Source organism: Homo sapiens, chromosome 17 (assembly GCF_000001405.40).
Source record: "Homo sapiens chromosome 17, GRCh38.p14 Primary Assembly".
In the NCBI taxonomy this organism is placed as follows: domain Eukaryota; kingdom Metazoa; phylum Chordata; class Mammalia; order Primates; family Hominidae; genus Homo; species Homo sapiens.
Window position 1 is genome coordinate 2,481,041 of NC_000017.11, and position 13,243 is coordinate 2,494,283.

The 13,243-nt window shown below is 41.4% G+C and overlaps 1 protein-coding gene across 3 annotated transcripts in view, besides 2 other annotated features; it reads right to left on the minus strand.

Moving 5' to 3' along the window:
- The window catches only part of METTL16 (methyltransferase 16, RNA N6-adenosine), a 96,174-nt gene that overhangs the window by 65,326 nt on the left and 17,605 nt on the right, over positions 1-13,243 (minus strand). The gene's annotated exons all lie outside the window — the stretch shown is intronic.
- Positions 8,298-8,397: a silencer, noted in NCBI's record as "silent region_8004". NCBI's record gives its function as "represses an Ori minimal core promoter by ATAC-STARR-seq in GM12878 lymphoblastoid cells {active_cell/tissue: GM12878}" and the evidence as "EXISTENCE:reporter gene assay evidence [ECO:0000049][PMID:35858748]".
- Positions 10,057-10,126: an enhancer, noted in NCBI's record as "active region_11494". NCBI's record gives its function as "activates an Ori minimal core promoter by ATAC-STARR-seq in GM12878 lymphoblastoid cells {active_cell/tissue: GM12878}" and the evidence as "EXISTENCE:reporter gene assay evidence [ECO:0000049][PMID:35858748]".

A 13,243-nucleotide genomic window follows, 5' to 3' on the forward strand; every position in this document is an offset into this window, starting at 1 on the left:
AAAAATTACAAAAATTAGCCAAGCATAGTGGCACATGCACCTTTAGTCCCAGCTACTCAGGAGGCTGAGCTTGCAGAATTGCTTGGACCTGGAAGGGGCAGAGGTTGCAGTGAGCCTAGATGAAGCCACCGCACTCCCGTACGGATGACAGAGTGAGACCATGTTTCAGAAAAAAAAGAAACAATGACAAAAAAAAAAAAAACCCAGGATATTTACACAGTCACAACGTACTTCCCCACAAATTATCAACTACCTTGATAATGATATCAATTATCAGATTATGAAAGGATAAAATAACAGTAAAATGAAGAAATCTGACAGATACCCCCTTAACGAAGTGACCAAAGTTAATACCCCTAATTATGAAACAAACTGGTATTATATGCTTCAACGATACAGAGAAGAAGAGAAAGGGATACAGCAAGCAAGACCCAAAAAAGCAGGCACAATTAAACAAAATTCAGGAAGGAGAGAGTGGCCATGGTTGTACACGTGTCAATATACTAAAAACCACCAAGTTATGAGAGTGAATTTTATAGTATATGAACTATATCTCAATAAACAAATGAAATGGAAAGGAGCAAGAAGTTTTAAAAAGTAAAGAAAAAGTAGTAAACATAAGAGAGGTTAATAATGAAGACCCCCTTGCAGATAACTGGGGATTCTGAATAAGAGAACCAAAGGATTAGAATAAAGAAATATTCAAAGACATGATTCAAGGTAACTTTCCAGAAATAGAAGGCTCACTATGTTCCCAGGAAAAGATACAGAATTAGAAATACCAACACCTAAAAAAATTACCAGACTTTAAGGCTTACAAGAAAAAAAAATCCTTTAGATATCTAGGCAAGTAAGCTAAACAATTGATTTTGGGGTTAGGGACGCAGTAGGGTACATGAGGCTGCTTTTAGATGTCCACACAGCACCATTCAATAGTAAAAGACAAAAGAACAGTGACTACAAAGCCCTTAGAGGAAAAAAAGTGTGACACAATTTTATGCTCAGCCAAACTTACTTTGATTATAATGACAACAGATAAACATTTTGAGTATACAGGAACTCAAGGAGTAGAGTTTTCACGAGCTCTTTGTGAAGAAATTCCTAATGGAAAAAGTTAATCAATTGAGATAAATTAAGGAACTACAGTAAGTCTTCACTTAACATTGACAATAGGTTCTTTGACTTTAAGCGAAACCATACGTAACAAAATCAATTTTTTTCTCATCACTTATAAGGAAATGACGTTATTAGAGGACCTGCTATACATCATTTCATTCATGTCGCAGTTTCCAAGAATCTACTGGCAACACTAACTGAGGACTTACTGTATAGCAAAACAACTGGCACTGAGCAGTTAAGCCATTTTAACCAGAGAGCTAAGATGAAAACACCTGTGAACCGTGGCTACATAATAAAATGTAAGTGTTTACAAACCACGACAACATACACATAATCAAAATTCGGGACAGGAAACAGGAAATGGAGAGGGAGTGCCTCAGCTTTTATACACAGGGTCAAAAGACTTCATTTAAGGCTGATAAACTAAGTAGCAGAGATAGAAGCACACATTTAGGAAGATAAACTGGCTGGGCCCAATGGCTCACACCTGTAATCTCAGCACTTTGGGAGGCCGAGGTGGGCGGACTGCTTGAGCTCAGGAGCTTGAGACCAGCCTGGGCAACATGGCGAAAGCCCGTCTCTACAAATAGTACAAAAATTAGCTGGATGTGGAGTATGGTGGTTGTGTGAGCCTGCGGTCCCCGCTACGCAGGAGGCAGGAGGATCACTTGAGCCCAGGAGATCAAGGCTGCAGTGAGCCAAGATCCCATCACTGCACTCCAGCCTGGGTGACAGAGTGGGACCCTGTCTCAAAAATAATAATAATAATAATATTAACACTAGAAGAATGAAGATAAATAATATAATCAAATAAAATCAGGGGCAGTAAAGGAAAGGTAGGTGAAAATCAGATCATATAGTGTTAAAAAAAAAAAGCAGCAAGAACAAAGCATGATATAAAATGAATGTGAAATGAATGTAAATAGTAAACTCATAATACTCTCAGATTAGATTACAAAAGACAAAACCAACTAATTACAATAAACTGTTTTAAACAAAAACTACGGCTAAAACAAAATGATCCAAAGGTTGAAAATAAAAGCTTAACCAAAAGTATCCCAGACAACTACAAATAAAAATGAAAATAGGAGTTATTTCACAACAGACAACCTTAATTTTTGGATCAAAAGGATTAAATGAGCAACTATGTAGAATGGGTTAAAAATATAAAATGCTGATGGAGGTCAAGAGAATAATAACTTTAAAAAGTGACTGACTCCATTTCTGTGGGTGTTGGTTTTAAAGAACAGCTTCTATAGGACAGTGGAAGCAGAAGTTTATTGCATAAATATATGCTAGCAATTAAAAGTCTCATTAAAATACATTAAGTCTATTTAAAGGGGTATTAAGTTTATTCTTAGACATCAGAATTGGATATGTATTAATTTTGTCATTTATGGGGGCTAATAAAAGAGGGTTAATCCAGGGGCAACAACCACGAACACATTTCTGCTTTACTCAATAGCACGCAATGGCCTCAATCAATTTTCACATAAAAAAAAGATTTGCACTATCTTTGTATTTCTTACTCGACTAAAAGCAGTATAAACTCAGGATCAACAAGATAAATGATGAGCAATAAAAAGGTATAAAATCTATAAGCACTTCAGTTTTACTTCTAACGAGAATATTTTATTCCTGTGAAATCAGTCAAGTGTGTGAGAAAAATGGGCCAATTCCATTTCCTTCAATGACATAGGAATGAAAGTCAAGTTTTACATATGACGAAGAAGTTCACATCTAAGTACCATGCTAAGGCATTCAAACACATTCGTGTCTTTAACTCGAGAATGGTAGCCTGACCTATTAACTAAATTTCACTGCTAAACACACAAAAGGAAAAATATCCCATGTCTATGTTCAAAGGCTTAATATCTCAAACGTAAAATTTCATGGTAAAAGGAATTTGAGGAGAAAAAAGTTTTCAGAAAAATCTCTATTAAAGAAACTTAGTAACTTACTTATAAAATAAGCTTGATAAAGAGTATTATCTAAGGGCAGTAAATAGTAACAAAAGTATTGCTATTTTGCACTGGCATTTCAAAGTAATTGTGAAAATCAGGGGTTTCAAAATATTTATAAGGAATAGCTATTGGTACTACTCAAAATGCCAGTCCCTGACAAGATAAAGAGCTTGTGCCAGAATGTAAACAACACATTAAAAAGTCAATTAAACCAAAGAAATGTGAGGTAACCTAAACATACGGCACAAGGTCCTTATCTCTGTGGACAGTAACAAATAGTCTGTGGTTAAGCAGCCAGTTCAATAACCACTTTTAGTAGCACTATGCCAGATGCCACAAATGACCATTTCAAAGGTTATGACCACTACTCTGTTCTTTTTTTTTTTTTGAGACGAAGTTTCGTTCTTGTCGCCCAGCCTGGAGTTCAATGGCGCAATATCAGCTCACTGCAACCTCCACCTCCCGGCTTCAGGCGACTCTTCTGCCTCAACCTCCTGAGTAGATAGGACTACAGACATGTACCACCATGCCCGGCTAATTTTGTATTTTTAGTAGAGACGGGGTTTCGCCATGTTGGCCAGGCTGGTCTTGAACTCCTGACCTCAGGCATACTGCCTGCCTCGGCCTCCCAAAGTGCTGGGATTACAGGTGTGAGCCACCGCGCCTGGTGACCACCACTCTAAGTAGTTAATGTTGTGTGGATTTGCCAGCCCGGTTTTGCCAGCTCTCTAATACTTTCAAACAAAACCAGTGATCCATGTTTTCATATGAAATGGATCTGATTCTTAAGATTAATATGGGCAATAAATAATAACTGCAAGCCTTATACAATTCACAGGCTAATGGGCCGCACCCTCTATTACAGGAGTCCCCAACCCCTGGGCCATGGACTGATATTGGTCCCTGGCCTGTTAGGACTTGTGCCGCACAGCAGGAGGTGAGAGGCAAGCAAAGCTTCATCTGAATTTACAGCCACTTTCCATTGCTCACATTACTGCCTCAGCTCCGCCTCCTGTCAGATCAGCGCAGCATTAGATTCTCACAGGAGCGTGAACCCTCCTGGGAACGCCGCATGCGAGGGATCTAGGTTGAGCACTCCTTGAGGATCTAAAGCCTGATGATCTGTCACTGTCTCCCATCACCCCCATATGGGACCGTCTAGCTGAGGGGAAACAAGCTGCGGGAAAACAAGCTGATTCTACACTATGGTGAGTTGTATAATTATTTCATTACATGAAATAATACAACGTAATAAATGTACAATAAATGTAATGCGCTTGAATCATCCCGAAATCACCCCTCCCCCACCACAGGTCCATGAAAAAATTGTCATCCGTGAAACTGGTCCCTGGTGCCAAAAAGGTTGGAGACCACTGCTCTACTCAATTGTAAACAGTAGAATTGTAAAGAAAGTTGGGGTACTTGGCTACTCTACTTTTAAAAGTGAAATATAAAAATGTTTATTTTGAGCACTACTTTGTTCAACTGAGGTATACAGAATAGGTCAGAATTTTTAAGAAACTGTGACAGCTGGCATGCATTCCTTTATTCATTCAACAAATAGTTATTAAGTGTCAACTATGTGCCAGGTATTACGCAAAATGCTAGGGATATTGCAGTAAGCAAACACAGACAATCCCTCCCTTTCTGAAGCGGACGGTCTGGCGGAGGATAGGTATTATCCAGAAATCACTTAAATACCTGTAAAACTATAACTGCGACAGATGCTATAAAAGACAGGTAAAAGATACTACTGACCCCCCCTAATTAGTGGATCTGCCTTAGGAAGGTCAGAGGAGGCTTCCCTGCACAGACAACTAAGCTAAGAACTGACAATGGAAGAAAAATTCACAAAGGAAGGAACGAAGGGAAGGGAACGTGGCATTCTAGGGTCCTAGGTAAAGCAAACCGCAAGTACAAAGACCCTAAGGCAGAACTTCTGGAGCATTCCAGGTACTAAGAGACAGTCACTGTGCCTCAAATGCAGAGAGCAAAGTAAGCGTATATAGTTCAAGGTGAAGCTGGGGAGGAAGGCAGGTTCCAGATTACGTAGGGCATTATAATTAGAGTGACCATATAATTTTATCATGTCCAGTCTGAAACTTTCTGAAAGTGAAAGAAAAACTATTAATAATCACACCAGGATACTACTCTTTTTTTTTTTTTGAGACAGAGTCTCGCTCTGTCACCCAGGCTGGAGTGCAATGGCGAGATCTCGGCTCATTGCAACTTACGCCTCCCGGGTTCAAGCAATTCTCCTGCCTCAGCCTCCCGAGTAGCTGGGACTACAGGCATGTACCACCATGCCCAGCTAATTTTTTGTATTTTTAGTAGAGACGGGGTTTCACCGTGTCAGGCAGGATGGTCTCAATCTCCTGACCTCATGATCTGCCCGCCTCGACCTCCCAAAGTGCTGGGATTACAGGTGTGAGCCACTGCACCCAGCTGATAAAAGTATATTCTATGTTAAGGATTTAGGTATGGTATAGAATAAAGTTGGAACAAAGTGGAAGCAAAGGCTCTAATTAGGAAGCTACTGCTATACCTGCGTTAAGAGGCTAGATAAAGGCTGGGTGTGGTGGCTCACAACTGTAATTCCAGCACTTTGGGTGGCTGAGGTGGGTGGATGGCTTGAGTCCAGGAGTTTGAGACCAACCTGGGTAGCATGGTGAAACCCTATTTCTATAAAATATACAAAAATTAGTCAGTGTGGTGGTGTGGTGGCATGCACCTGTGTTCCCAGCTACTCTAGGCGGGGGAGTGGGAGTAGGGCGCGGTACTGAGGTGGGAGGATCACTTGAGCCTGGGAGGTGGAGGCTGCAGTGAGCCGAAATTGTACCACTGCACTCCAGCCTGGGCAACAGAGTGAGATCCTGTCTCAAAAAAAAAAAAAAAAAAAAAAAGGCTATATCTAGATAAAGGTAGCAATGGCAGAGATAGGGAAAAGTGAAAGGAATTAGAGATATTTTGGAGAGAACATCTGTGAGATTTAGCAACGAAATGATATGTGAGCTAAGGGATGCTGTGTTTCACATGAGTCTCCCAAGGTTCTAGCTTGCTCAACAGGATAGGCGGTGCCACCCTAACTGAAGTTAGTAACTCTGGCAGAGAACCGTTTTTGAAGAGAAATATAAATCTGAGCTGCATCTGAGACATTTAAGCGGAGATGGAGCCCAGAGAAGAGGTGTGTAGAAATAAACATGTAAGTGATTTGCAAACAAACAAGTGAAGCCCTGGCACGGATAACAGCGATGAAGGAGAAAATATAAAGTGCGAAGGAAAGAGAGCTGCGGCGCAAGCTTTGAAAACTCCTTTAATAGCTGTATGCACAGTCATTACAGAGGAAGTTCCACAAGGAGACAAAGGAACACCAGAGTGGAAGAAGGAAAACCAGTTTTCCAGTGTGGTGCTGAGGAGGCCAAGGCAAGAGGGTATCCATGAAGGATAAACCAACCAGCAGAGTGACCTGCTGCTCAGAAGGCAACGGAGCCCTGAAAATCAGAGTCAGTGACATGAGGCTGCTGGAGACCTTTTAAAGAGCTGCTTTGGTAGTGGTAGAGTTAGAAACCACTGTGGAATCAGCTAAAGATTAAATGAGGGCAGAGTGTGGAAGCTCACACCTGTAATCCCAGCACTGTGGGAGGCTGAGGCGGGAGGATTGCTTGAGCCCAGGAGTTCAAGACCAGCCTGGGCAACAAAAAGAGACCCTGTCTCTACAAAAAAAAATTTTAAATTAGCCAGATGTGGTGGCAGACACCTATAATCTTAGCTACTCAGGAGGCTGAGGCAGGAGGATCACTCAGCACAGGAGGTCAAGGCTACAGTGAGCTGTGATCGCATCACTGTATTCCAGCCCAGGCAACAGAGCAAGACCCAGTCTCAAATAAAATAAAATAAATAAAATAAAATAAAAATCATGCAGTACACCTTAAATATAGACAATTTCAACTCTAAAAAATGAAAAAAACCTCAAAAGATTTGAAAACAGGACCTCAAAAAGATATCTGCACACCCATATTTACTGCAGCATTAACCCCAACAGCCAAGAGGTGAAAGCAACCTAAAGGTCCACTGACAGATTAACAGATAAAGCAAATGTGGTATATACACAAAATGGAATACTATTCTGCCTTTAAAAAGAAGGAAATCCCAGCCCGGCGCAGTGGCTCACGCCTGTAATCCCAACACTTTGGGAGGCTGAGGTGGGCAGATCACCTGAGGTCAGGAGTTTGAGACCAGCCTGGCCAATATGGTGAAACCCCATCTCTACTAGAAATACAAAAATTAGCCAGGCTTGGTGGTGGGCGCTTATGATCCCAGCTACTCGGGAGGCTGAGGCAGGAGAATCGCTTCAACCCGGGAGGCGGATAGGTTGCAGTGAGCAGAGATAGTGCCACTGCACTCCAGCCTGGGCAACAGAGCAAGACTCCGTTCCCCACCCACCAAAAAAACAAATTAAAAAAAACAAAAAAAAGGAAATCCTGTCACGTGCTAGAACATGGATAAGTCTTTGAGGATATCAAGCTAAGTGAAATAAGCGAGTCAAAAACAACAAATACTGCATGATTCTACTTTAAGGTAAAGGTATCTAAAGTAGTCTAACTCATGAAAAGGTTCTAGAAATCTGCACAACAACAAGCACAGGGTTAACACACTGTACACTTAAACTGGATTAAGATGGGACATTCTACGTTGCGTTTCTCACAACAATAAAAAAAATTAAGTGGCCTTAAATTATTATTCGCGTACTGTACTGACATCCTTCCCACTTTTCAACTCTCTGATACAGAAGACTTATTGAAGAAAATGTCCACTTTTTAAACACTCTCATGGGTCAAATAAGCAATTAGATAGTAATATACAAAAACACAGATCCTGAAACAATGGAAACAACCATTACTGATAACCCTAAGTTAACCAAAGAATCCAAAATCCTACTGGCAAAATAAAAAATTGTACCTCGATCAATCAAGCTAAACTTTTCATTCTTTTTTTTTTATTTTTTTTTATTTTTTGTAGAGAAGGGGTCTCACTATATTGACCAGGCTGATCTTGAACTCCTGGCCTCAAGCAATAGCTTCCCAAAATGTTGTGATTACAAGCATAAAGCAGCTTGAAGCCAGGCCTTCAGGCTGATCTTTTAAATGCCATTCCTATGCTAACTAAAGAGCAACTAACAGAAAAGAAAAATCTAGTCATCCAAACACCTCTTTGCCCTTTCCAGGCATAGTTAAGAATACTGTGATTTCGGCCGGGCGCAGTGGCTCACATCTGTAATCCCAGCACTTTGGTAGGCCGAGGCAGGCAGGTCACCTGACGTCAGGAGTTTGAGAGCAGCCTGGCCAACACGGTGAAACCCCGTCTCCACTAAAAGTACAAAAATTAGCCGAGCGTGGTGGCAGGCAACTGTAATCGCCATTTAATAGAGACGGTGAAATCCCGTCTCTACTAAAAATGCAAAAAAAATTAGCTGGGCGTGGTGGCACGTGCCTGTAACCCCAGCTACTAAGGAGGCTGAGGCAGGAGAATCGCTTGAACCTGAGAGGTGGAGGTTGCAGTGAGCCAAGATCACGCCACTGCACTCCAGCCTGGATGACAGAGCGAGACTCAAAAAAAAAAAAAAAAACGAATACTGCGATTTCCTAGCAATGCCCAGTGACTTACCCTAAATTCAGTGAAGCTTAAAAAGAAAGAAAAATAAGTCCAGTGATAAAAGAGGAACTGTTAAATTTAAGTTTTGTACTACAGAAAATTTAGGAACAACCTAAAAGTAATCAGTATGGAATTGGCTAAATAAGCTATAATATAACCATGCAAGAAAATCCTATACAGTTATTACAAAGAATAAGATTAGGCTGATCTACATATACTTGTATGAAGAGCGTTCCTCAATATATTACGTTTGAAAAAGAAGTTGAGTAGAAGTATATATGTACATTCTGATTGCATTCTTGTAAAAACAAAACAAAAAGACCCTGTATAAACAGATGCAGAGGAAAAGTCTGGAAGGTAAGTAGGGACTCGATATGCACGCAGGTGGGTAGATGCGTCGGGTGGAGACTTCCTTCACCTCACATTTCTGTATTATCTAAACACATTTAATTACATAATTCCACTTTTTTTTTAACTAAATATGTAAACTCTCTTCATACAAGTGTATGTGGATCAGCCCAGTCTTATTCTTTTTAATGACTGCACTGTACTCGCTTGGGGGGATGTATTACAGCTTTTGTAACTTTATGCAAAATGCTTACAGTATAATGTCAAATGGGGGAGAAGACGACGAATGATTGTATGTAACTACAACTACAACCACAAAAATTCCTACGTATGAATAAAGACAAGGGCTTAGAAAGATGAGATTACGGACTAATTTCATCTTTTAGGGTGAAAGAACTGACTTTTTGTATGTATGTGACATTACCATTATAAATGTAGTTAGGAAAAATATATTTCTCTAATTTTCCCATTAAGGGGTCTATAATGTCTGTATAGTAAAAAATAATTCCTTTTTTGAAAACCAGAAAACAGGTCCTTGGTTCTAGAATATCTGCTCTCTGTAACACAGTGACAGCAATCACCAAAAGATAGTGCTGCAGCTGTAGGGCTCATCATAAAGCTTCAAGAGACATTTTGGGCAAGAGAACAATGTAATTAATGTTTTCCAAGGGCCTTCAAAGAAAGTTGTTGCTTACATAAACAATTCTTGTTATTCAAATATATATATATATTCAACTTACAAAATGATGAACTAGAGCACACAATTTATTCACAAGGAACTATATCCTAAAAAAGTACAAGACATTAAGCTGAGGCTAGTTTCATGGAAGGAAATAAAGTGAACACCAATGAAGAGCTGATTGTTAGACTTTGTTGTTTATTTTCTTTTCTGAAAAGATCCAGACACTAGTCTGAGTGTCAAAAATACTTTTGTTGGGCAAAGTCAAGTCACTCGACTTCACTAGTTAAGAATCTAGGTCACGTTAGCACTCTGGGACATTCAAAAAACCTGAACACAGACAGGCAAGATCTTTTCTCATTCTCATTTCAGAGATCACAGGGAGGCCCAGGAACTAAAATTAGCTCTCACGTGAAAATCAGCAGTTTATTCATTTTCAGTCTTTGTTGTTTGTTTAACACATTCAGCTTCCCAAAATAGCCTATTGTCAACAGGCTCATGGCCGATTTCCCCAGAATGACTCCTGCTCTACCACTGATGAATACAGTATTACCATTACAGATGGATTTTGAACAGACACATTTCTGTAATCCATTGTTAAAATAACAATCATTCTAATCCTGTAGAAGCTGAACCTGATGCAACAAAAACAAAAGCCAAAAGCCTCCCAGTGTTACTCCAAGGTTGGTTTCTAGTCTTTAGATGGTCACTGAGGTGCTAAAAATGGTACAGTCTACCCAGCATGATAAAGCCCTTCCATGCTAGGTCTTTGGTTTAAAAACAAATCAGTTGGCCGGGCACGGTGGCTCACACCTGTAATGTCAGCACGTTGGGAGGCCAAGGCGGGTGAATCACGAGGTCAGGAGATGGAGACCATCCTGGCTAACACGGTGAAACCCCGTCTCTATTAAAAATACAAAAAATTAGCCAGGCGTGGTGGTGGGAGCCTGTAGTTCCAGCTACTCCGGAGGCTGAGGCAGGAGAATGGCATGAACCTGGGAGGCAGAGCTTGCAGTGAGCCGAGATCGCGCCACTGCACTCCAGCCTGGGCGACAGAGCGAGACACCGTCTCACAAAAAAAAAAAAAAAAAAAATCAGTTAAAATAAATAAAAATAAAAACAAATAGGGCTGGGCGCGGTGGCTCACGCCTGTAACCCCAGCACTTTAGGAGGCCAAGGCTGACGGATCACGAGGTCAGGAGATCGAGACCATCCTGGCTAACACGGTGAAACCCTGTCTCTACTAAAAATACAAAAAATTAGCCGGGCGTGGTGGCGGGTGCCTGTAGTCCCAGCTACTCGGGAGGCTGAGGTAGGAGAATGGCGTGAACCTGGGAGGCGGAGCTTGCAGTGAGCCGAGATTGCGCCACTGCACTCCAGCCTGGGCGACAGAGCAAGACTCCGTCTCAAAAATAAACAAATAAATAAATAAAAACAAATCGGTTAAGTGTCACATTCTATTCAAGCTGAACTGACAGTGCTGAACTAAATTGTAGGCTGTCCCTATGGAACTGATTATTGTGAAAAAACACAAACTAAAATCTAATTGCAATGGTCAGATATGATTATAACAAAGCAGTGACATGCAGGGGAGAAAAATAAGATATCAGAGTAGCAATCCTTGCCACCTTACTTATACCAGGCTTAACAACAATATGAGCACCTACCATGAACTCAGTGTCCATAGAATGCTAGTCATTCTACACAACTGCTAACCTTCATGAGGATGTCCTCTCATCCCTCCTTTTCAGGTGAGAAGATTCAGTCTCAGTAAAGCTAAGAAAATTACATAAAATCTCACAGCTAAGGCCGGCCACAGTGGCTCACACCTGTAATCCCAGCACTTTGGGAGGCTGAGGCAGGTGGATCAAGAGGTCAGGAGTTTGAGACCAGCCTGGCCAACATGGTGAAACCCCGTCTCTACTAAAAATAAAAAATAAAAAAATTAGCCAGGTGTGGTGGTTGGCACCTATAATCCCAGCAACTCAGGACGCTGAGGCAGGAGAATTGCTTGAACCCCAGGAGGCAGAGGTTGCAGTGAGCCAAGAACACGCCACTGCACTCCAGCCTGGGCAACAGAGCAAGACTCCGTCTCAAAAAAAAAAAAAAAAAAACAACAAAAAAAACACAGCTGGAACTGGCACCCTCAAGACTGATACTTAACAAGACTAACTTAGAAATGTCCCCTTTCCAAAACACCCCTGATTCCCTTAAGAGACCACTTAGGAGTTAAGCAAATAAGTGACACTCTGACCCACTGAAGGTCTAATGTTTTGTGTGACATTTCTTTTCCATCATTAGTTGAGTTTATATTTTGGTGATTCTTCTTTTTTTTTTTTTTTTTGAGACAATTTCAGCTCACTGCAAGCTCCGCCTCCCGGGTTCATGCCATTCTCCTGCCTCAGCCTCCTGAGTAGCTGGGATTAGAGGTGCGTGCCACCACGCCCGGCTAATTTTTTTGTATTTTTAGTAGAGATGGGGTTTCACTGTGTTAGCCAGGATAGTCTTGATCTCCTGACCTCATGATCCGCCCGCCTTGGCCTCCCAAAGTGCTGGAATTACAGGCAGCCACCACACCCAGCCCAGTAATTCTTCTTTAATACAACTGACAGAATTAAATACAAAGCCATTGTAGGCTGGGCGCTGTGGCTCACACCTGTAATCCCAGCACTTTGGGAGGCCAAAGCGGGCGGATCACTTGACGTCAGGAGTTCGAGACCAGCCTAACCAACATGGTAAAACCCCATCTCTACTAAAAATACAAAAATTAGCCAGCTGTAGTGGCACATGCCTATAATTCCAGCTACTCAGGAGACTGAGGCACATGAATTGCTTGAGCTCAGGTGGTGGAGGTTGCAGTGAGCCGAGATTGGGCCACTGCACTCCAGTCTGGGTGACGCTGTGAGACTCTGTCTCAAAAAAAAAAAAAAAACCATTGTAAAAATGAAGAACATTCTACCAGTGCAGACAATCATCAACAACTCCTACCTAAGCAGGAAGGGGGAAGATTTCTGGGAGCTGCCAGGTCATTTACACCAAGGTAGACTCTCCTATGTCTACCACAGGTTCCTGCGAACCATGCGAGGTTGCAACTATAAATAGGCTCACATTGCTCTCATCTCTAAAAGAAAAACAAGGAAGTTCTCCTCAAGACTGCCGTATCCTCTTCCCATCGCCTCACAGACACATTTCTTCTTCCCTGTAACAAGTCTTTTTAAAAAACTTTTTAAAGATTACTTTTAATTTCTTTTCTTTTTGTTTTTGACAGAGTCTCGCTCTGTTGCCCTGGCTGGAGTGCAGTGGTGCAATCTTGGCTCACCGTAACCTCTATCTCCTGGGTTCAAGTGATCCTCATGCCTCAGCCTCCCGAGTCGCTGGGAGGTTAATTTTTGTATTTTTAGTAGAGATGGGGTTTCTCCATGTTGGCCAGGCTGGTCTCAAACTCCTGGCCTCAAGTGATCCACCCACCTTGGCCTCCCAA